The sequence below is a fragment of the Homo sapiens genome, chromosome 4, assembly GCF_000001405.40.
Source record: "Homo sapiens chromosome 4, GRCh38.p14 Primary Assembly".
In the NCBI taxonomy this organism is placed as follows: Eukaryota; Metazoa; Chordata; class Mammalia; order Primates; family Hominidae; genus Homo; species Homo sapiens.
The window spans coordinates 65,776,936-65,801,935 of record NC_000004.12 but is presented as its reverse complement, the minus strand read 5'-3'; the positions used below and the strand labels follow the sequence as shown (position 1 = coordinate 65,801,935).

The window sequence follows — 25,000 nt, the reverse complement described above, 5'->3', positions numbered from 1 at the left end:
TTTATTTATTTAGTATTTCTTGTAGGGATGGCTTGCTAGTGACAAAGTTCCTCTTTTATATTGGGATACCATTATTTATCCTTAATTTTTAAAGAAAAATTTTGCAGGGCACATGACTTCTTTAATGTTAGTGTTCTTCTTTTGGAAATTAGAATATATCAACCCACTATTGATGGTCCCTATATTTTCCGAGTCAGGATTTATAGTTTGTAGATTACAATGTTAATATTGCATTTGAATAAAAAGAGCTGGCTAAGTAGTGACTTGTTTATATGGTGAAACTCTTGAGGAATTGAAAACAGGTGAGCAGCTGAAATAATAAAATGTGCTTTGGAGTTTCAAATCAGGAAAATAAGTTTGCTTGCTCTTGTGTTAAGAGGATAAAGGATGTGTGTTTTGAGAGAAATTGGTAGGAAAAGAACGAACTGTTATATAACTATGATCTTTTTAAGTAAGTTAAGCTTGTGTGCTGTAATTGATTATAAAATAAGTCAAGAAGATAAGCCAAAGGGTAACAATGAGAAGAACAGCTTCTTGATTTAAAAAGTATATTTTCCAAGAGGAGGATAGGTTGTATAAATAGCATCTTGAGATTCACTTTGAATGAGTTTGAATAAATAATACATAATGAAAGTACTTATTGAGAACAGATTATACATAACATAACTGTAAAAATGTCCCATGTGGTCCGGAAAAAAAAGAACGTGTAAAAAATTACAAAACACATATATATGTATATATTAATTGTGTCTCTTTCTGTATTTTTGATACTTTAATAACTTGGGGACTCTGTGAGTGTGTTTTTCATATGCAAACCAACCAATCCACAGTGCATGGCCCCAGCTACCACTTTTACTCGGCTCTTACACTCTGGGCTGCTATCTTCCTTCCTTAATCATTCTAGGACCAGGTATTAGACAACTAGGGATGCTCAGTGCCCAATGAAATTATTCAAACTAGCCAATTCTAGGCTTGTTACCTTGCCTAACCCATTTCTTCTCAGAGAAACTAAAATAAAGGCTCTTGCACCTGTTTTCCCTCATTTACTCTGCTACTTGAATGATCCTGATGCTTTTCTATGTGGCCCTATGTGGTATGGAGTGTCTCCTGTCTCTAGGAACCTGTGAGGGAAACCATCTCTCTTTACGACAGTCATTTCTGTGTCTGCATATCTTAAAATTCTGGTTTTTTAAAAAAAATTGCTGGGTACCCTAAAAATAATACAGACACACACACACACACATATATACACACACACACATAATATATACACAGACATATATGTATATGTAAGTGTATGTGTCAACATATATATATATACGTGTGTATTTATATATATATATATACACACATATATATGTATATAAGTTATGCGTGTAATTTGTATATAATACTATGGTCCAATAAATAAGAGGTCAAAATTGAGATCTTTAGCTTGGAGTACATCATCTGTTCACTTTGAGTATCCAGATTGCTGCAACAGCTTTTCTTCTTGTTTGCATTTGAAACATGTTTGTCCTGTGGAAAAAAAAAATATGCACATTCTCCATCAAAATACTATTTAAAATCTGATATTTATTGACACATATTTCTATATGAGAAATCTTTATGGAATATAATGGATAATAGATGACTTTTAATATATCACTCAGTTGTTTATATTTAAAAAAGAAACTATGTTAATTCACCTTGCTAGAAGACCTAAGTAATAAAAAAGGTGACTGTGACAGAATCCCTACCCTTGGGAATCCCAGCAGGATGTCAGGCAAGAATATAAGTTATTAAGCAGGCTATGATAAGTGCACAAAGAGAGGTATAATGTGCTAGGAGGGATCATATGCTGTCCAACTGTGATGAATCCCAAGAGAGAACAAGTAGTAAGTAGTAAGATTTGAAATCAGCTTAGAATAAAGAGTTAAACCTTGACAGGCAGCCCAATAGAAACAATAGCATTCAAACAGAGTCAGGAATGTGACCAAGAATAAAAATAAAGAAAATGTGGGCACAGGCTAGTTATGCTGCTGGCTTACTAGAATATTAGTCAATGCTAAAGGAGAATTGGACGATGATTTTGGGGACAAGTGCCAAGTACAAACTGAAGAGGGCCTTGAAAGTCAGAGCACGTTTTTTGGAATTAAGAAAAATATCCTGGCCGGGCGCGGTGGCTCAAACATGTAAACCCAGCACTTTGGGAGGTCGAGGCAGGCCGATCACTTGAGGTCAGGAGTTCGAGACCAGCCTGGGCAACATGGTGAAACCCGTTCCTATGAAAAATACAAAAATTCGCCAGGCTTGGTGATGGGCAACTGTAATCCCAGTTACTCGGAGGCGAAGGCAGGGAGAATTGCATGAACCCGGGAAGTGGGGGTAACAGTGAGCCGAGGTCACACCACTGCACTACAGCTGGGGCAACAGAGACTCAGACCCTGTCTAAAAAAAATAAAAGAAAAAGAAAGAAAGAAAAATAAAAATATCTTTATGTGGTTACTGTTTTAAGGATGATCAAATCTCACCCTGCTTAATTGTTATGATAAAATATTCTGCTTGATTGATAGTGTTAAGGAGTTCACTACCTTTTTCTTGAGCCACTATGAACTTTGAGGGATTTTGCAGTGTGTTGCAGGTTACATTCTCTGGGAAATTGACATTGGGGTGGAGATTAGAGCAGGAAGTGAATTAACAAACGCTCTTGGGCTCAACACCTGTGGAATGAGATGAAAGGAAGCAGAATCAGACAGAAGGAGATGTTGAGCAGCAATGGAGTCTTCATGGAATTCTCAACTAACCTTACAGGGAGATCTGAAAATTGAATCACTTTTCAGAACTGTTCCCTGTTTGTGGTTAAAGTGTCAGGTTTTAATACTCCTGTGTAAACCAGTCATTAAACACTAGTTGCCCCAAGAAGACATAATCTTTTCGAGGTGGCTCTCTTCTGCTGAGGCAATTATTAAACCAGGCTAACACTTGAGAGCTTCCTGCCAGCAGCACTCAGAGCAACTGGGATAACTTGTCCTTCACTCCTAAAGGAAGAACTAAACAGCACATGATAGCATCTAACACACAGTGTCCTCCACTCCAATTCTAGGCCCAGCCATCTGATATGATTTGGCCAGTGGAAGTTAGTAAATGTGACAACAACACAGGTTTGAAAAGCACTTGCGTGATTGAGCTTTTCCTCTTATTTCTTCTACTCTGCAATTAATTGAGAACAGGTCTGGGCTTGCATTCCAGAGATAAAAAGGTGGCTGATCCAAGTGCTACAAACTGTCTATGCTGAGATCATGCTAAATCAGCAGTCACTCAGCTGACCCCCAAGGGCATGTGTGTGAGGCAAGAGCTACACAGCCACTTACATGACCTGCAGTAGATGACTGCATGTTTGTTGTGTGCCATTGGGATTTTGTGATTATTTGTTATTCAGCATTATTATTGTAGTAAATAATATATTAGCTAAATACAAAATATTATAATAAACTTTATATTTGAAAGGATTTTGATATAAATATTTCTCTATGGATAATTTTATGGCTTATACACCATTTCAGAGAGAGTCTTGTCTGAAGTAATGTAACTCAAAAATTGATCTGTGGATATTTGCTAATGGCAGATGAGAGCAAAAGGTATTACACTTACTCAGCCAGGAGGTGTGCATTGCAGCATATCTGCTCTACATTTCTTCCTTGATAAAGGTCCAAGAATATATAAATCATGATACAGTCAAATGAAAAGAATAGCATGTAGGTAAAAACCAAAAAGTTATTCCTTAAGTGTTCTACATTTTGTCTTGATGAGGAAACAGAAAGTTCATTTGATTAATTCACAAGTCATCACTTTATATTTTACATTAGATATTCCTGAATTTAAAAAAAAATAGACTTCGGGATTTCTAGACAATTAACTCAACTATTAAGTAGCAAAACTTATATTATTCCAGTTATTGTTATTCTTTTTTGTTTTTTTGTTTGTTTTTGAGACAAACTCTCACTCTGTCGCCCAGGCTGGAGTGCAGTGGCGCGATCTCAGCTCACTGCAACCTCCGTCACCCGTGTTCAAGAGATTCTTGTGCCATAGCCTCCCGAGTAGCTAGGATTACAGAGGCCCACCACCACGCCCATCTAATTTTTGTATTTTTAGTAGAGATGGGGTTTCACCATATTGGCCAGGCTGGTCTCAAACTCCTGACTTCAGGTGATCCATCCGCTTTGGCCTCCCAAAGTGTTGGGATTACAGGCATGAGCCACCGTGCACAGCCTGTTATTCTTTTAATCAGAAAGTCAGATTTATTTATTCTAGATTGGGTAAAACACATAACAGAACTTTGAAAAGTGTCATAGTTAGAAAGGCAATCAGAAAGCGAGTTTCAAGGACCATGTTTCTCAATTCAACTTTGTCACTAGATTAAAGAAAAATCAGTCAATGCCAAAGTATCTACCATCCCAATAGAATACTAAATAACTATTGGATATATGTATAATTATATTACACTTTTTTGACTCAATTTCATTAGAAAAAGGATGAGTTTATTTCTCTCCATTCCAATGCAGGATAGTCAGGAAGTAGTGGTCAAATGGTTTCTTTATGAGTTACTTTACAGAAACTAAAATTATATGACAACAGTCTGGTTAAATCTTTAGTTTTCATGATTTGGACTATCTAAAATTAAATTAGCTCACAGCCTTTCATTCAGATGCAAAGTATTATTTAATGTTTGAAGGTATTATTTCTATCATAAAAAGCAGTTTATCCAAATAGGATGCTGAAGATACTTTTCTACAGTCCTAGAGCCTTTTTCCTTTCACCTAAGCCACTCAACCTTATATTAATAGATGCAATTTCTTAAAATAGGCATGTTTATGTAAACCTCAGGCACAAATCTTAAAATAGAAGAGAAAGCCAAATTTATTTAACATAAAGACTCCATTTAGCCTCAATTCTTTTATGTTTAATAGAGTCTAGTACTGTAAACTATTTTTTGGGACCTTTTGATAATAATGATGGTGATAATGACTATGACAATCATGATCTTTTAGCAAATCACTTAATATAATTGACAATTATACAAAATGAGAAGTTATCATTACCCCATATAAAAAATAGAAATAGCCTGTTGTTATAATTTCTTTTTTTTAAAGGCCAGTTGATCAGTCACATAATGGTGTCACAAGCACTTTTTTCTAAAGCATTGGTTTTAAAAGCTGAACAGTCTAATATTTCCTAAGTAGTAATAACTATTATACAGTGTAAAAACAGTCAAAGTACTGGGTTAACATTTACTGATCACATTTAAATTTGATGAGCAATTTTTCTTTCTTTGTAAAATAAAAAAGTTTGCTCCTAATAATTATAGCCATGTAATTACTGTAGTGTATTTTATTAATTATAAAATACAATAAATATACATATAAACATATATGTACATTTGTATGTATTATGTATATATAAAAAACTTTAACTTTCATAATATTATAGGTAATTAAGAAAACAGTTACATTTTTGTAATCTGGAAGCCTTCATGTCAATGTTGGGTATTGACTATATACAACAGTGTTTTAGGGAATTCCTGAAAGAAATAGCCAATAAAAGCTGGGTGCGGTAGCTCATGCCTGTAATCCTAGCACTTTCAGAGGCCAAGGCAGGCAGATCACAAGGTCAGGAGTTTGAGACTAGCCTTACCAACATGATGAAACCATGTCTCTACTAAAAATACAAAAATTAGCCAGGCATGGTGGCACGTGCTTGTAATTACAGCTACTCAGGAGGCTGAGACAGGAGAATTGCTTGAACCCAGGGGGTGGAGGCTGCAGTGAGCTGAGATTGTGCCACTGCACTCCAGCCTGGGTGACAAAGCAAGCCTCCAAAAAAAAAAAAAAAAAGAAAGGAAGGAAGGAAGCAGGGAGGGATGGAGGCAGGGAAGGAAGGAAGGAAAGAAAGAAAGAAAGATCTTTCCAAAGAAAGATCCAAACTTTTTAATACTTTTTAATAAAGCCCTGTGTAATCTTAGTGATATGGTTTGGCTGTGTCCCCACCCAAATCTCATCTTCAATTGTAGCTCCCATAATTTGTACATGTTGTTGGAGGGACCTGGTGGGAGATAACTGAATCATGGGGGCAATTTTCCCCATACTGTTATCCTAGTAATGACTAGGTCTCATAAGATCTGATGGTTTAATAAGGGGTTTCCCCTTTCACTTGGTTCTCATTCTCTTCTCTTGTCTGCCTCCATGTGAGACATGGCTTTCATCTTCCACCATGATTGTGAGGCCTCCCCAGACATGTGGAACTGTAAGTCCACTAAACCTCTTCGTTTTGTAAATTGCCCAGTATTGGGTATGTCTTTATTAGCAGCATGAAAGTGGACTAATGCAGTAAATTGGTATCAGTAGAGTGGGGCACTGCTGAAAAGATACCCGAAAATGTGGAAGCAACTTTGGAACTGGGTAACAGGCAGAGGTTAGAACAGTTTGGAGGGCTCAGAAGATAGGAAAATGTGGGAAAGTTTGGATCTAGAGACTTGTTGAATGGCTTTGACCAAAATGCTGATAATGATATGGACAATGCAATCTAAGCTAAAGTGGTCTCAGATGGAGATGAGGAACTTGTTGGGAACTGGAGTAAAGGTGACTCCTGCTAGGTTTTAGTAAAGAGACTGGAGGCATTTTGCCCCTGCCCTAGAGATTTTCTGGACTTTGAACTTGAGAGAGATGATTTAGGGCATCTGGCAGAAGAAATTTCTAAGGAGCAAAACATTCAAGAGGTTACTTGTGTGTTGTTAAAGGCATTAAGTTTTAAAAGGGAAACAGAGCATGAAAGTTCAGAAAATTTGCAGCCTGACAATGCAACAGAAAATTACATTTTCTGAGAGGAAATTCAAGCCAGCTGCAGAAGTTTGCATTAATAAAGAGGACCTGAATGTTAATCTCCAGGACGATGGAGAATATGTGTCTAGGATGTGTCGAAGAACTTTGCGGCAGCCCCTCCCATCATGGCCTGGAGGCCTAGCAGGAAAAATTGGTTTTCTGGGCCAGGTCCAGGATACCTCTACTGAGTACAGTCCATGCACTTGGTGCCCTACTCCAACCTATTCAGGCCATTATTAAAAGGGGCCAAGGTACAGCTCAGGCTGTGACTTTGAAGGGTGCAAGCCCCAAGCCCTGGTAGCTTTCATGTGGTGTTGAGCCTACAGGTGCACAGATGTCAAGAATTGAGGTTTGGTAACCTCTGCCTAGATTTCAGAGGATGTATGGAAACGCCTGGATGTCCAGGCCGAAGTTTGCTGCAGGGGTGGGACACTCATGGACAACCTTTGCTACAGCAGTGAGGATAGGAAATGTGGGGTGGGTGCCCCCATAGAGTCCCCAATGGGGCACTGCCTAATGGAGATTTGAAAAGAAGGTCAACATCCTCCAGACTCCAGAATGGTAGATCCACTGACAGCTTGCACTGTGCACTTGGGAAAGCCAAAGATATTCAATGCCAGCCTGTGAAAGCAGCCTGGAGGGGCCCTACACCCTGCAAAGCCACAGAGGCAGAGCTGTGCAACACCACGGGAACCCACCTTTTTTATCAGTGTGACCTGGATGTTGGACGTGGAGTCAAAGGAGATGATTTTGGAGTTTCAAGATTTGACGGCCCTGCTGGATTTTGGACTTTCATGGGGCCTGTAACCACTTTGCTTTGGCCAATTTCTCCCATTTGGAATGGCTGTCTTTACCCAATGCCTGTATCTCCATTGCGTCTGGGAAGTAACTGACTTGCTTTTGGTTTACAGGTTACAGGCTCATAGGTGGAAGGGACTTGCCTTATCTTGAATGAGACTTTGGGCTGTGGACTTTTGAGTAATGCTGAAATGAGTTAAGACTTTGCGGGATTTTTGGGAAGGCATGATTGGTTTTGAAATGTGAGGACATGAGATTTGGGACTTGAGACTTTTTCTTCTACTAGAACTATAAATTTAGTGTTGCAATAGCAGTGACAAGTATACTACTTAGTGCATAATAAATGCTCATTAAATGTTTGGAGAATGAAAAATAAGAAAGAAAGGAAGGAAAAGGGGAAGGATTAAATGAAGAAATAAAAAAAAAATGAAGGATAGATATAAAATCTTGCAGTGAAGGCCTGGCACATTGGCTCACGCCTGTAATCCTAGCACTTTGGAAGGCCGAGGCTGGTAGATCACTTGAAGTCAAGAGCTTGAGACAAGACTGGCCAACATGACAAAACCTCAACTACACAAAAAATATGAAAAATTAGCCAGAGGTGGTGACATGCATCTGTAATTCCAGCGACTCCAGAGGCTAAGGCAGGAGAATCGCTTGAACCCAGGAGGCAGAGGTTGCAGTGAATCGAGATCGCATAACTGCACTCCAGCCTGGGTGACAGAGCGAGACTCTGTTTCCAAAAAAAAAAAAAGAAAAAAGAAAATCTCCCAGTCAACACTAAGTGAAACAATTGCAAGTATTTCCAAATCTATTGTTTTCCAGAAAATAATTCATAGAGATTTGAAGTGTAACAGAAAAATGTGTATGACAATACAATAAATTTTTACTTGAGTTAAACAGAAAAGATTTCATGGACAAATTGATCTCTGAACCATGGTACTTCAGCAACCACCTTTTTGGAGAGCCTGTTGTAAACTCTTCTACTGGACTAGGTATTCACCTATTCACCTGGTCCATTTCACCTGTTTGAATGAATCTACTCAATTAATTATTCAATCACATCACAGCCACCAATTCACTCCCAACTATTAACTTTATCATTTTTCTTTCCAGAAATCAATCTACTCATGTCCTTCTATCTCTATTTGATCAGTTTGGATTCATTGATCCATCTTTATGAACAGTGTTTGTCTACTCTACACACCTGGGAAAGGCACACTCTACATAATGCCATCTCTGTTTACTCTGTGCTTGTCCTGTGTAGCTGAATACTGTTGGTGAATAGCCACAACTATGCTGAGAATTCTTGATTTTAATTCATGGAATTTTAATATTAAATAACTTCTTAATACTGGTTAACATTGCTACAACACTTTTCCGTTATATTTGCTTTGTCTCTTTTCCAAAAGATATTTTCCACACCTCTTTTTCTCTCCTAAAAATTCGTTGGCCATCTCCTCCTTCCTTATTCTTAAATGAAAACCTTGCTTCCTATCTTATTAAGAAAAATAATAATAAAAAAATCAAACTCAAACTCCCTTACCTTCCCTGAAATCTATTAACACATCTGAATCTGTGCCTATACTTTCTGCCTTTCCTCTTTTTCCATGGATAACTTTGAATTGATGATTTTCCACACTTCTATTAATGGCTGACCTTTTTACTTATTCTAAAGATCTCATCCCTTTTTACCTTATCTAAGCTTTGCTTTCAGAATTAATTTCTTTTTTCACATAGTCAACATTTTTTTTTCTCTCTCTCTCTTCTGGAAACAGAGAATCAATGACACCCTATTTGTTATAATCATTATTTGACTAAATATTATCTTTAGATATCATCTAATTTCTCTGCTCCCCTTCACTAAAAAAAAAAAAATCATATTGAAAGAGTTTTCCCTGGTCATTGTCTTTACCTTGTGTCTTTCAGGGTTCAAAAAGGGAAGCAGAACTGGTAGAGAGAGAAAGAGAAAAGGACAGTGTGTGTGAGAGAGATGGGTGGGAGAGTGAGAGAGACAGAGAGAGAGCAAGAAAGGGAGAGAGATGATCTGTTACAGTGACTTGACTAACTTAATTATGAAAACCAACTAAGTTGTCTTTCTAAGGCTGCTGTCTCCATACCGGAACATGAAATCCACAGGGGAGTCAGTCAGGAAGAGAAGGTTATAAGCAGGGCGGAACTTAGAAGCATAAGCTAGAAATCCACAAAAACACATTGAATTCTATGTGGTTTCTTGTTGCCTTTGTTTTTAGTGAAAAAGATGAACGGCAGAAACTGGAGCCCTTTGTTACAGAGCTAAACATATACACCTGGTCGCAGAAACTGAAGAAAGATCCAGAGAAAAGTGGAACAATTGCAAGCCCAGCTGCTGCTTCACAGCAAAGAGGTGACTCAGCAGATCTGCAATAAGTCCGTGAACTACAAAATGACCATTGTTTCTCTTCTTCCTTTCAAATCTTCCAAGAATATCCCTTGCTGCTCACTCTAATGAAAACATGCAAAAGAAGATATTCAGGGAAACTAGGTTGACATATTGCAAAGCCATCACAATTCTCTATCTACATTCCACATTCAACTGTAGTACACAGATTAGGCTCCTCACCTAGCTCTAGTTTGAGACTGATTTCTGTTCTTATTTTATAAGATCTCTTAGAAGTTTTTTGTATAGTTATTGTTTTAAGCAATTAATTACAATTGAAATTTTGGAGGATGTGTGGGGATTAAGTTTCTTTCTGATACTAGTAAATTCCTTCCCTATGAAAGGAGAAATGACTGCCAGAGAGAAATTTTCAGACAGTTGTGACAAAGTTACAATTTTCATCTAAGGTAAACTGGAAAGCAGTGTGGGTCCTTTATTATTATCTTCCCAGGAATATACTAGGATGATGCACGAGTACATTCTAGAAAGGCAAAAGAATTGATATGTCATACATCCTTATTGGAATTCAAATACTGGCCAATCCTGACAGCTGTTCCTAATAGACAATGGATTGTGACTAAAGCCAGAGTCATATGCCTCCCTTAAAGTCAATACAAAAATAAGTTGAGGCTAAAATTACTATTCAGATACTGCTAGGAGTGGGTATAAAGTTATTTATCAAAAGTTTCTCAGATAATATTTCAAAATGAGCTAAGGAAAATTATAAATATTGAAAGGAAGGGGATAAATTAAATTTGTACGAGGAGGTGTGCACAGAGAAATTATAGTTACAAAGGAATATTTGTTAAATGAAAGCAATGGAAAGCTAACAACTTATGGATCAAACAATACTTAACTAAGAGTGCATAAAATCTTTCATATTATTTCTCTCCAGTGGAAGTGTCTCTTTATAGTCTTGTATATTACCTGAATTTTGAAAGTATACATTATTTTTCACTTAAAATATTAATTTTATTTCTAGACTATGTATTTCAGAAGAAAATAGATGTTAACAAAACTAGGATAAAACTAAATTGTGTGTGTGTGTGTGTGTGTGTGTGTGTGTGGTGTATTAACACTCATTATGGGTTATAGCATAGCCGATAAAATACAATATATATTATACTAACCAGGAAATATGCTACATCGTATTTATTGCTGGCAAATATGTATAACATTTTCCTATTTTCTTGTAAAAGATTTATACATTATTTGCATGTATACTAAAGTTTTAGCTGAAGTGTTAGGAATGTCAGAGAGATTAACTGAAAAGAACTTAAACTGAAGACAAGATTATGAAAGTAAATAACAAATTTCTTACATTAATTTATATAATTTATAATATAAACTTAATATCTTAAAATAACTTGTAATTATAAATTAATAATAAAATAAGCAATTCATTGTCTTCATTTGTGAAAAGCTCGGCATTCTTTGTAAAAGATCTTGGTCTATGTTTTCCAGTTGTGTCAGACTTACATGGACCCGTGGGATTTATTAACGAGCCTCCAAACTAAGCAGGAAGTGCATTGGCTTGGGATTCTGGGAGAAAATCACCATCCTGAAAGAGTTTGGTGGGAGTGAACTGCAGAGCCTGCAAGTCAAATTGGCTGTAGGTGCATTATGTTGCCGACTTGAACTCTCTCTTAGTTACTCCCACCATTCTCACCAACACCACATGTGAGCACCTAAGTGGAGGGGCAAGGAAAAGTACCTCTATGATGTGGAATCCACTGCTGAATAAGCTGTTGATGAATATCAGGTGTGTCTAGTTATCCAGCGGGTACTTGTAGTCAGAAATTTGCTGAGGTCATCTGTAAAATTCACACCACAGCAGCTTACAATAACATACATTTATTATCTTACAGTTTTCTTAGGCTGGATTCCAGGGGCAGCTTAGATGGGTCCTTTGCTCAGAATCTCAGAGGGCTGCAATCAATCAAAATTTGGCCAGGCTCCATTTTTTCTGAATTTCAGGGTCTTCTTCCAAGTTCATGCGGCCATTGGCAAAATTCAATTTCTTTTAGCTGTAGGCTGAGGTCCCTGTTTTCTTGCTGACTGTCATTTCTGGACCACTCTCAACTTCTAAAAAGCCACTTGCAGCTCTTACTAAATGACTCTGTGATATTTCCACAACATGGTAACATAATTTTTTAAAGCCAATAGGAGAATCTCCATCAAGTCTACTAGGATACAGTCTTATATCATGTAATAAAATCATGGGAGTGATTATTCCATCACCTTTGTCATACTCTGTTCACTAGAAATCGGTCACATGTTCTGCAGCATTCAAGGGGAGAAGATTATGCAGGGCATGGCTCACTGGGTATCACCCTAGAGAGTGGCATATGACTGAGATCAACAGTGTTTAACGCAGCATTAGGAGGATTATAGCTAAAGCATATTATGTGTTAATTTTATGTGAGTGACAACATTTTTAGCCCCACACAAACATATCTTTCATTTTTAGACACACACAAACATCTTACAAACTTCACTGGTACTTATAGCAGGAAAATTACTTTCCCTGACACAATGTGGAGAGGTCTACATTATACTCAGGCAACACATAAAAACAATCTTGAGAATTATGAAAATGTTTGAGAGAAAGTGTCCAAAGCAAGACTGGACTTCATTTTATAGACATATCCACACAAACACACACACACACACAAACACACACACACACACAAAGAATGAGATTTTGGAGAGTAGGAGTTTTCTCTCCCTTTTGCTTTATATATGTAAGAATTAAATATTTTCAATGAATATATACTATTTCCTAATAAATTAATCATTTTTCATGTTTATGATACATAAATATTTGTTAAGTCATTTTGTACAAATGTTGGCAGTTCCTTATTCTCTGCATCTAGTGCTTTATCCCCCTGGTTATGATTATTGCATATTTACCTTGCTGCTCCTTTCTTTACTTCACTGTCTTCTGAAATGTATCGTGAATTTTTATACTGTACTCTGATAATTAATTTTATGTATAAACTTGATTGGATCAGGGGATGCCCAAATATCTGGTTAAACACTATTTCTGGGTATATCTGTGAGGGTGTTTCTGGAAGGCATTAGTAATCAACTCAGTAGCCTCCATAGATTGCTCTCCCCAGTGTGGGCAGGAATCATACAACCTGTTGAAGGAATGAATAGAACAAAAGTCAAACAAAGGAGAATTCCCCCCACTTTTTTTTTTCTTTTTCCTTACCAAACATCTCATCTCATCTTTTCCTGCCCTTGGACTAGGATTTAAACCATCAGCTTCCTGGTTCTCAGGCCTTTGGACTCTGACTTACACCACCAGCTGCTGGGTCTCCAGCTTGCAGGCAGCAAATCTTAGAATTTCTCAGCCTCAATAATCACATGAGCTAATTTCTTATAATAAATCTCCTGTTATACACATATAAAGAAGATAATAGATGTGTGTTCATTTTAGTGGTTCCGTTTCTCTGGAGACTCCTGACTAGTAAATACATATACAGAGATCTACGTATCTCTTTTGGCCTCTAACACCACATGTATTGGAAAATGAACTAAGAGAGATTTACTTAGACATTTTATGAACTCTGAAGTTATTGGCTGGTTTCTTTGTTTTTACCTGTGAGAGAGGATGCTCATTAAACATTTTTTTAAAAACACTAGAGTAATGATTGAATCATATTTGACTAAATTATAGCCCCAAATATATGATGTCGCTCAGTGGCTTAGCTGAATTCAGCACAAATGGAAACTGACTTTCATTGTAAGATTTTATGCTAAATAATAAGAATGTATATATTACAATGCTTATGATATTATTTTTTTATTAACAATTATAATTTAGTCACCATTTATTGAGTCTATTCTATAGACAAAGCACTATACTAAGCATGTGTATAACCTATATATCCTTATCCTCACAAAAGCCGAATAAAGTATCCTCACAGTATTTAGTAAAATGTTCTGCATTACTGGCTTAAAAACTGCAGAGCCTACATTTAAACACAGGCTTCTCTTACCTTTGAATCAATTCTGAAATTTTTCCTGACTCACTGTGACCTATTAGTAAATTTATGTGTGTTCTCTGTCTCTGGTTTTGACACAGCTCCTAAAACCCGTTTAATTTCCTAGGTGATATGGGTATAGAAGTGGCAAAGAGCTCCTAAGTACTTTGAAATTTTCTGGGTAATTGGAGCATTTTTTTGTTCTAATGAGGGGGATTGCTTCAAGATGGGGGCTGGCCTCCGGAAAGATCAAGCTATGATTAGAAGCTTCAAATTTTCAGCCCTACCTCAGCATCCTGCATGGGAAAGACAGAGGGGCAAGAGATTGAGTTAAGAATCAGTTATGCCTAAATTGTAGAAACTCCAGTAAGTCCCTAAAATATTGGGATTTGACTTGTAAGTTGGCGAACATATATTTGTGCCAGGAGCGTGCTGCATTTCCACAGGAACAGAACTCCTGTGTTCAGGACCCTTCTGGATCTTGCCTTCTGCATTTCTTCATCTGGAGTTATCTGTACCCCTTGTCATATCCTTAATAATAAATCACTAAATGTAAGCAGGTGTTTTCCTTAATTGTGTGAGCCATCATAGCTCACAAATTGTTGAACCTGAGAAGGGGTGTCATAGGAACTCTCAAGTTGTAGCCAAGTCAGAGAGAAGTGTGGCTAATTTGGGGACGTATTACTTGGCGATTGTCATCTGAAGTGGGGGGCAGTCTTGGGGGACTGAGCCTTTAACCAGCAGGGTCTGCAGAAACTGTAGGTAATTAGTGTCATAACTGAATTGTAGGACACTCAGTTGATGTCTGAAGAGTTGGATAGTTGGCTGGTGTAGTTAAAACCCCATACAATTTTGTGTTGTAAGTGTTGTGTGAGTAAAGACAAAAATAGTATTTTTTTATTTTTACTTACATTAATGTGCATGAGAAAATACTAAAATATTCCTATATTTCATAAACTCTAAAATACTGTTTGATCCATGAATCTCTTAGATACTATAATATCACATTACAACAACTCAGGATATCAATGTAATTAAAGAACAGGCTTCAATGAGGTTCAACCGTGGTATCTATTTCCTTATTAATTAAATAGCTTATTTGCATATGTGATAAATAATCCAGTTAAAAGGCAGTTTAAACTGAAAGAACACATTACCCACCCTGTAACATAATACTTTCTACTGCAGTAAAGGTATTACTGATTTAAACTTTGGAGTTTCCTTCCTAAATATTTCTTCAGAAATCTAGGTTATATCAAGGAGTAATTATTATTTACTGTTTTTGCGTTTCCTATTTTATGTATTTTACCTCCAAATTTTTAGTCATGTTCTTACACTACAATATCACACAAATAATTATAACGTACCTAAATATATCACATCTCCTAAATGGCATAAATCTTAGAAATCACCTCATCTAAATCTTTTATTTCATAGAAGAAAGGGGTTATGGGAATAATAGAGTAATTTGGGAAATCATGACCATAGGGGAAAAGAAACGGGTGATTCACAGTACAAGGAGGCAATATGCCATGGTTAAGAGCACTAACTTTGAAATTGGAATGATGTGAGTTCTAGTCACAGTCCAACACTTGGCATTTGTGCAACCTGGAACAAAGAATATTTTTTCCTCATTTTTCTGCCTCACTGAGTTGTAAAAGGTTTCAAATAATGCTTTGCACATAGCAGGCATTCTGCACTGGTAACTACAGGAACGCATTACTGAAATAGTTACAGGTAATGGAAAATAAATTGTTCTAGGTAATTTCCATTTGCCACATATGTTAAGATATACCCTCAGATATCACCATTCTCCTGGCACTCTGACAGAATATCTTTTAATAGCTTTCAGTAACTTTCCCTCGTTTGATTACATCTTATTTGCAATCATTCACCCACTAACTTTTTTTAATGCTTAGTGAGGAATTATTACGTATCAGGCCTTTTTTCTAGATTCTATGAATATTTATTGGTCAAAACATGGGAACTTCTTGCTATTTAACTCTTTTCTGTCTTTAAGGAGGCAGAATTTTATAGAATAAAGCTACAGGTTCTTTTGCCCTTTGGCTTCTGGTGGAGTTGACCAATGAAAAGTATCAGCCACTTACCAGGGACAGCAGAGGTAAAAATGTAGGGGGGTATTTTGAGAGTTTTCTTTCTGCTAAACAGCAGTTAACTGCATTTAGGCAACTACTCTCTCCAGTTAGCCTTGCAGGCTTATGCATGGTGACAGGTCCCACTGTGTTTTACTACCCCATATTGATTTTCATTAACCATGTCCACATTTTTTATATGGTCTCTTACATAACCTACTTGAGTAGGCCATCTGTTTTCAGCTTAGACCTTGATGTACTCACTTTAATCCTGAAAGTTGAATTCTCTTATATGCCATGAGATCACTCTTGATTAGGGGATTAGGGTCCTCTGAGCATCTAGGACCCAGTGCATCAGAAAAGTGACTAATATAAATCCAGCTATGAGCTGCTAAATGGGAAATACTAGGAACAGGAACATGCTGTATGTACCTTTATATCCCCACAGTGCTTTGTGCTTCTAAAACTTATGTAAAACTGATTTTACAGTTGTGTTAATTGTACCCCTCAAATTTAGCTCGCTATTTTCCTTTCCTAATGAACTTTTTATCACCAATTCTTCAATTTCATTAAAGATTCCCCTAGTAATTCAGACAGGATATGTTATAGTAGCTTTTAGTAACATTCCCTGTTTATTAGAATAATGTATTCACTAATGTAAAGAATAATTAATGAACCATTCCTATGTGCCATGCAATTTTCCAGGTCCTTGGATATAAATAAGGACAAAACATGAGAGCTGTATTTTAGTGGAAAAATAAACAAGTCACCAAATGCATGAACAAGATAGTTTCAGATTGCTACATAACCAAGAAGAAAAAAACAGTGATATGGAAGAGATAATTGTGATAATTGCCATAAAATAATTCTCAATTTGATATGATAGAGAGTAAAACATTGGGTATGTGTGGAGCAGTAGTATAGACCATTCCATAACACCACTCCATATGTATGTATGTATGTATTATGGAGGATTATGTGCACCCCCTCCTCCTCCAAAGTTCATATGTTGAAGTTCTAACCCCATTGTGATGATATTAGGAGGTGGAGCCTTTAAAAAGTGATAAGGTCTAAATTAAATCAGATGAGGAAGAGAGAGAAATTTCTCTGTCTCTCCATATGCACGCAGTGAGGAGAGGCCATGTTGAGCACACAGTAAGAAGGTGGCTACCTAGAAGCCAGGAAGCAGGCTGTCACCAAGAACCAAATCTGCTGACACCTTGAGCTTAGACTTTACAGCATCCAAAACGGAAAGAAATACATGCCTGTTGTTTAAGCCACCCAGTCTACGGTATTTGATATAGCAGCCAGAATTTATTAAGATAGGGGGTAGTTTAGGTAAAATATCAGGGAGAACGACTCTAAACACGTAACACTTAAATTAACAACTAAAGTGTGAGTCAGAGCCTGCCATGCAACAAAGCTAAAAAGGGGCTACATTTCATCCAAAGAGACAAATGCAAAGTCCCAGAAGAGGGGAAAAGCTTGGGATGTGCCAGAATGAAAAAAGCACCCATATAGGTAGAATATAATAAGTGAGCCCATGAAAGGAATTATAGAACCACATGAACCAGATCATGTTGGGCTTTGTACTCCATAGTTAGAAATTCTAATTTTATTGTTAGTATAATGGTACTTCATGGATATACTTACAATGGAGAATTATATAATTTCAGCTAGGTTTTATTTTTAAGCTGGTAAGAATTAGGAGGCTATTGCCATTATCCATGAGAGAGGCCTAGGCGGTACTCTTGAAAATGGAAAGACAGAGAGAAATTAAAAATCTATTTTATGGGATTAATTATGGGAGACAAAGGAAAGGGCAATATCTAAAATGATTCCTATGATTCACCTTCACCAATTGTGAGAGTGTTGGTAGCATTAACTGTGAGTGAGAAAACTGTGTATTACCTTGTTCTGTACATTCTATTTCTGAAATAGTCCTGACACGTACCCACCCGACAAGCCATTTCTTCAGCAGTGCCTTTAATTCAAGTCTGTTCTTTAAGGACTTTGGCAAAGGTATCTTAAATATTCTTACACAAAATATTCAATACTCAGTTAAAGTATTTATGTTGCTGAAGAAGAGTTCTAGAAGCTCCCCCAACCCCCACCCACACTGAGAGAAACACAAAAAGAATTATTCTTGGCCAGAGACACAACTTCTAGGACTGAGGTTCATGGTTTCTGAAACTAACACTTTTCTAGCTTCACAATCTATTAACCTATTTTTCTTCTTCACACACTACAACAAAAACAAAGTTGGTATTCTCCATTTTCACCCAGTATTTTTCTGTATCCATTCTTTTGCACCTCCTTCCTCTAAATAGAATGAATGTCCTGTCATCACCCCATCCCCATGTGCTCAAATTATTCCTATTATCTAGGGCCCAATACAAATTTTACATTTTCTATCAAGATCTCCTGGAAGTGATTTCTCTCTCCTATAAACACCCATAACCCTTTATTTGTCCCTTTTCATGCCTCTGAATTATTTCTGTCTGTATTATCATTCAGTATGATTATGGAATGTTCTATGCTATAAACTATGTCTATCATCAGAAGAATTCTGTTTGATTAAATTCTCTACAACATTTACCCATACTAGCCTCTCACAAAATGGTAAATGCCAAAATTAATGAAACAGTAGAAGATGTTACTAAATCCAAATGTCTGTTAAATTGAAGCAAATTAACAGTGACGGGTTAAATTAATTTATGTTAGACATTGAATCAGTCAATGTGACCCAGCCAATGTTACCATGTTTTTTAAAATTTAAACAAAATCAGATATATCCACCTATCTACTTTCTATTGGAAGTTCAATGAACTCATCAACATTTCCATGAATTCCTAAAGTCCTGTAATTAATACAGATATTTTGACTCTGAGTTCCTGCTTCTGCCAAGGACCCAATTCCTTTTGCTCATCAGCTCTTTCTAAGGCTGTCTTTTTTCTTTTTCTTCTGTTTCACAAGTTTAGATGTGGAACTTCAGTTCTATTTTCATGATTAAAATTAAGCATGACAAGAAGCACAGAATGAAATACTAAAAATAGTCAAGACTGTGTGTCTAAACCATCATTTGGGTAAGTGAGAATTTCTTTATCCAGGTTGTTGGTCTTTTTATCTAGCTCCAGATTCCTTCCCAGCTCTCAGCACCATTTACCTCAGGAAAAGGGTTTTTCAAGGATAGTCTGGCAGACAAGGGGCTAGGGAATAGGAAATGCTGCTTGATTGGGTTGGTGATGAAATCATAGGGGGTTGAAGCTGTCTTATTGCACTGAGTCAGTTCTTGGGTGGGGATCACACGACCCAGAGGAGCCGGTTTCTTAATGTGGGTTCAGGAGGTACCAGTGGTCTATCATAATGCAGAGTCTGGAAAATACCTCACACCAATCTAAGGTTTTACAATGGTGATGTTATCCATAGGAGAAATTGGGAAGGTTGCAAATCTTGTGACTTCTGACTACGTGACTCTTGAACGTTAATTTTAACTCTGTGGCTAATTTGTTAGTTTTACAAAAGCAGTTTGGGTCCCTGAGTGAGGAAGAGGTTAGTTTTGGGAAGCAGCTATTACTACATTTGTTTTAAAGTTAAACTATAAACTAAATTCCTTCCTAGTTAGTTGGCCTATGCCTAGAAATAGATAAGGGAAGTTTGGAGGTTAGAGGCAAGGTGGAGTAAGTTAGGTCAGATTTATTTCACTGTCATAATTTTTCTATGTCAGATTTCTCTCACTCTTATAATTTTTGCAAAGGCAGTTTCACTAGTATACATTTAACTTTACATACCCTAAAAAACCCTCAATGCAAATTTATTATATGTACTCTAATCAAGCAATTGCATTTTGAACAAATTAAGAAATGTGGGGAAAATGTTATATTTCCCTATACATGTACCTCATCCAAACCTCATCATTCAAATATGTCCAAGTGCCTTTATTATAACACTTCTCTTTAGCATGATTAATTTACATTGCCATTTCTTGTAAGACAGGTTTACTGGTGACAATTTTCCTTAGCCTTTTTTTAATCTGAAAATATTTCATTTTACATTCATTTTCATAATATATTTTATTGGGCATATAATTATAGATTATTTCTTCTATTTTAGAACTTTAAAATGTCTCTCATTACCCTCTTCTTTGTATTTTTCTAAACATAATTGTATTATCCAGCTGAATAGAATCTTTTTTTTTTTCTCTAGTGCTTTTGAGTGGTTTTTTTTCCCTATCTTCATTTTGGAAATCTTACTGTGATATGCTTACCCGTGATCATCTTTATGTAATTCTGACTTAGGGTTAATTGTTTTTTGTCGAATCTGTGTGTCAATGTTTTCATCAAAATTGGAGAAGAAAATTTAGGTATTATTTCTTCAAAACTTTTTTCTGTCCCTATCTCTCTTCTCTCCTCTAAATCTCAGATTGCATGTTTGTTGTACTGCTTGATATTGTCCAATAAAACATTGAAGTTCTATTCATGGTTTTTAAAGTCCTTTTGTAAATTTGGAGCCTCAATTTGCATTATTTTTACTCACCTGTCTTCAGGAATTTTGCTGTTTCCTATTTCTAATTATTGAATTTAGTTCTGGAAGACAGTTAAAAAATGGTGGCTCACCCTGATACTGCCAAAGTTTGCTTTTTAACATTTGACTGCATGTGTCTACAGTAGCCCATGCTCCTAGGATGAGATAACCCTATTCCTTAGGAGTAAATGTCCTGAAATTTTAAATGAGTTCTTGATGTTTCCTGTCAGTTGTATGGGATAAAATATTTATTTCCTCACCCATTGCTAGGTTTATGGCAAAGGCACCTATAATAAAAGACAGATTAATAAAAGCCTAATTGTGTATTTAATGTCAATTTTACCTGACAGAGCACTCTAGAAATGAAGATTCAAAGAAATAGGGAAACCTAGGTATCGTTATGCGTAGTTTGATGAAGTGTGAACAGTTGTAGAGAAGCACGATTGCAAGGGAGGAAAATCGAATGGCAATAAATTGGGAGGAAATTAGCAAAGTGTGTTTGTTCAGATTCTATTTGATATCTCTGCTTTAGAGAACAAGATGTTTCTTTCATCTGGGTATACAGAAGGTTACACTGGAATGAAGTTTTTATGACCTGCTTCAGGAGTAATGGCAAGGGAAAGGTGAGAGTGACTGTCCTGCTTCTACTGTTTTTCAAATGCCAAGGTGTCATATTTGGGGATAGAATGTCTTGAACCTCCTAACAGTTCTCTCCATTCTGGCAGCTCAGAAATCTATCTTCCAATATATGTGACCTCTAGACTTTCCATTCATCTCACAGTTCACAGGTATTTGCTTTCTGCCATGATTAGCACAATCTTATGCTGGGCATGTGAAACTTAAATTTGGCTAAAGACCCCAGGGAGACTCAAAAAAACTGTATGTGCTCAATTCTCTGTGCAGCTCTCTCTGCACCACTACTTTTTCCTGTGAATCCCATCCATTTCAGCAGCCATGAACTTCTCTGTTTCCTCCACTCAGCAAGACCATCACATTCTGAGCTCCACTTGCCTCTCCCGTTTCAAATGTGCCCTCATGCAAAAAAACAAGGTAAAGGTAGTGCTCACCTAATATATTCCTGTTTTCTCAAAGACCTATGCTCTCTGTTGCCCAGTACAAGAAAATATGTTTTATTCAATTCCATAGTGTACAGAATGAGGTTAAGTTTTATCTGCATTATGATCAAAACCAGAATCTCAAGCTAATACTTTGGAAACATCTTGGCCAAATTGTAAAGCCACATTTACATGTTAAAAAAGGCACAATTTTGAATGATTAAAAGATGATGCTCAGTATAACAAGCATTTTCACATTTAACATTTTGTCTCCTTTTATATAAATTAAGTTTTTATAAACTGTTAATTTAGTAAAATATGAATAATTTTAGGAAACTTTCCAGGTATATTTTAATGCAGATGTATTTTGCTATTATTCAGTGACATCCTTATTATTTCAACTTGTAACAATTTTGTGCTAATAGGTAATACAATATGAATGTCATGCAGATGAACACTGTCACTGCTCCAGGACACTTATATTTATGCTTTTACATATTTTTATTGATTCTTTAATGGTCAGGGGAAATTTTAAATCAATTATATCTCTTATGATTTGGTACAATCAATATTTTTGTTGTTAAAGAATGCTAACCTCAATTTTGTAAAGTATATTGCTTCACTTTCATTATCCTTCTTAATACGAATTTCAGATAGAAATCCGTAGGAAGATAAAGAACAACAGAAAAGAAAACTATTCTAGAAGACATAAAACAGTCACTTCATAAATATCATATACAAAATTAATTGTAACTGTAATTCTAATAAAATTAAGCATTAGTGTACCACTGTTTGATTTTAAAGTTAAGCTAAAGATCTGAGCACACTAACAAAAAATTTTCACTAATTTTAAAATGTAATTATACATTTACTTTCATTCTGTTTTTCAAATTATAGAAAATTGATTTTTAATTACAGAATTTAAGACATAGCAATGATAAGATTTGGATTGCTAGAAGGGGACTTATTAGCACATAACTAGTATAGCATCACCATCTTTTTAATTTTTTTATTTTTATTTTTTTTGAGTTGGTGTCTCACTCTGTTGCCCAGGCTGGAGTGCAGTGGTATGATCTTGGCTCGCTGCAACCTCCACCTCCTAGGTTCAAGCGATTCTCCTGCCTCAGCCTCCCGAGTAGCTGGGATTACAGAGACACACCACCACACCCAGCTCATTTGTACAGTTTTAGTAGAGATGGGGTTTCACCATGTTGGTCAGGCTGGCCGCAAACTCCTGACCTCGTGATCTGCCCACCTCGGCCTCCCAAAGTGCTGGGATTACAGGTGTGAGCCACAGCACCCAGCTGCATCACCTTCTTTATAAAGTTTAAACCTCAAATCTCTAGAACAAGACTTGAGCAGAGGATTGAGAAGTGCTTCTTAAAAGAATAAAATACTTTTTACAGAGCTTGTACATTTATATACTTATCCTAAGCATTGTGAGGCTGTATTAGTCTGTTTTCATGCTGCTGATAAAGACATACTTGAGACTGAGAAAATCAAAAGGTTTAATGGACTTACAGTTCCACGTGACTGGGGAGGCCTCACAATCATGGCAGAAGGCAAGGAGGAGCAAGTCACATCTTGCAAGGATGACAACAGGCAAAGAGAGAGAGGCCTGGTGTAGGGGAACTCCTCATTTTAAAACCATCAGATCTCATGAGACTTATTCACTATCATGAGAATAGCACAAGACAGACCTGACCCTATTCAATTACCTCCCACTGGGTCCCTCCCACGACATATGGGAATTGTAGGAGTTACAATTCAAGGTGAGATTTGGGTGGAGACAAAGCCAAAGCACATCATTCCATCCTTGGATCCTCCCAAATCTCACGTCCTCACATTTCAAAATGAATCATGCCTTCCCAACAGTCCCACTAAGTCTTAACTCATTTCAGCATTAACCCAAAAGTCCACAGTCCAAAGTCTTACCCGAGACAAGGCAACTCCTTTCCACCTATGAATCTGTAAAATCAAAAAGCAAGTTACTTATTTCCTAGATACCAGGAGAGTATACACATTGGATAAATCCAGCCATTCCAAATGGAAGAAATTGACCAAAATAAAGGAGTTACAGGCCCCATGCAAGTCCAAAATCTAGCAGGGCAATCAAATCTTAAAGCTCCAAAATTATCTCCTTTGAATCCATGTACCACATCTGGTTCACAATGATACAAGAGGTGGCTTCTCATGGTCTTGGGCAGCTCCGCCCTTGTGGCTTTGCAGGGTATAGGCCACCTCCAGGCTGCTTTCATGGGCTGACATTGAGTGTCTGTGGCTTTTCCAAGGGCATGGTGCAAGCTGTTGGTGGATCTACCATTCTGGGGTCTGGAGGATGGTGGCCCGTTTCTCACAGTTCCACTAGGTGGTGCCCTAGTGGGGACTCTGTGTAGGGATTCCAACCCCAAATTTCTCTTCTGCACTGCCCTAGCAGAGGTTCTCCATGAGGGCTCCACCCCTGCAGCAAACTTCTCCCTGGGCATCCAGGCATTTCCGTACGTACTCTGAAATCTAGGCAGAGGTTCCCAAACCTCAATTCTTGACTTCTGTGCACCCATAGGCTCAACACCACATGAAAGCTGCCAAGGCTCAGGGCTTCCACCCTCTGAAGCAACAGCCTGAGCTATACCTTGGCCCATTTTAGACACAGCTGGAGTGGCTGGGACGCAGGGCACCAAGTCCCTAGACTGCACACAGCAAAGGGATCATGTATCTGGCCCAAAAATCCATTTTGTCCTCCTAAACCTCTAGGCCTGTGATGGGAGGGGCTGCTGCAAAGATCTCTTATTCACCATTGTCTTGGTTACTAACATTCAGCTCTTCATTACTTATGCAAACTTCTGTAGCCAGCTTGAATTTCTTCTCAGAAAATGGGATTTTCTTTTCTATCACATTGTCAGCACCCAAGTCACCTCTTGAATGCTTTGTTGCTTAGAAATTTTTTCCAGTAGTTACCTTAAATCATCTTTCTCAAGTTCAAAGTTCCACAAATCTCTAGGGCAGGGAAAAATGCTGCCAGTCTCTGCAAAAATGTAGCAAGAGTGACCTTTACTCTAGTTCCCAACAATTTCCTCATCTCCATCTGAGACCACCTCAACCTGGATTTCATTACCCGTATCATTATCAGAATTTTGGTCAAAGCCATTCAACAAGTCTCTAGGGAGTTCCAAACTTTCCCACATTTTTCTATCTCCTTCTGATCCCTCCAAACTGTTCCAACATCTGCCTGTTACCCAGTTCCAAAGTTGCTTCCACATTT

At 37.1% G+C, this 25,000-nt stretch overlaps 1 long non-coding RNA gene across 1 annotated transcript; it reads left to right on the top strand.

The window, feature by feature from the left end:
• The first annotated feature begins 17,263 nt into the window (after positions 1-17,263).
• Positions 17,264-21,298, top strand: LOC105377258 (uncharacterized). The gene is made up of 3 exons (XR_938833.1): positions 17,264-17,450; positions 19,141-19,245; positions 21,216-21,298. It is a non-coding gene; the product is annotated as an uncharacterized LOC105377258 (long non-coding RNA).
• The last annotated feature ends 3,702 nt before the right edge of the window (positions 21,299-25,000 follow it).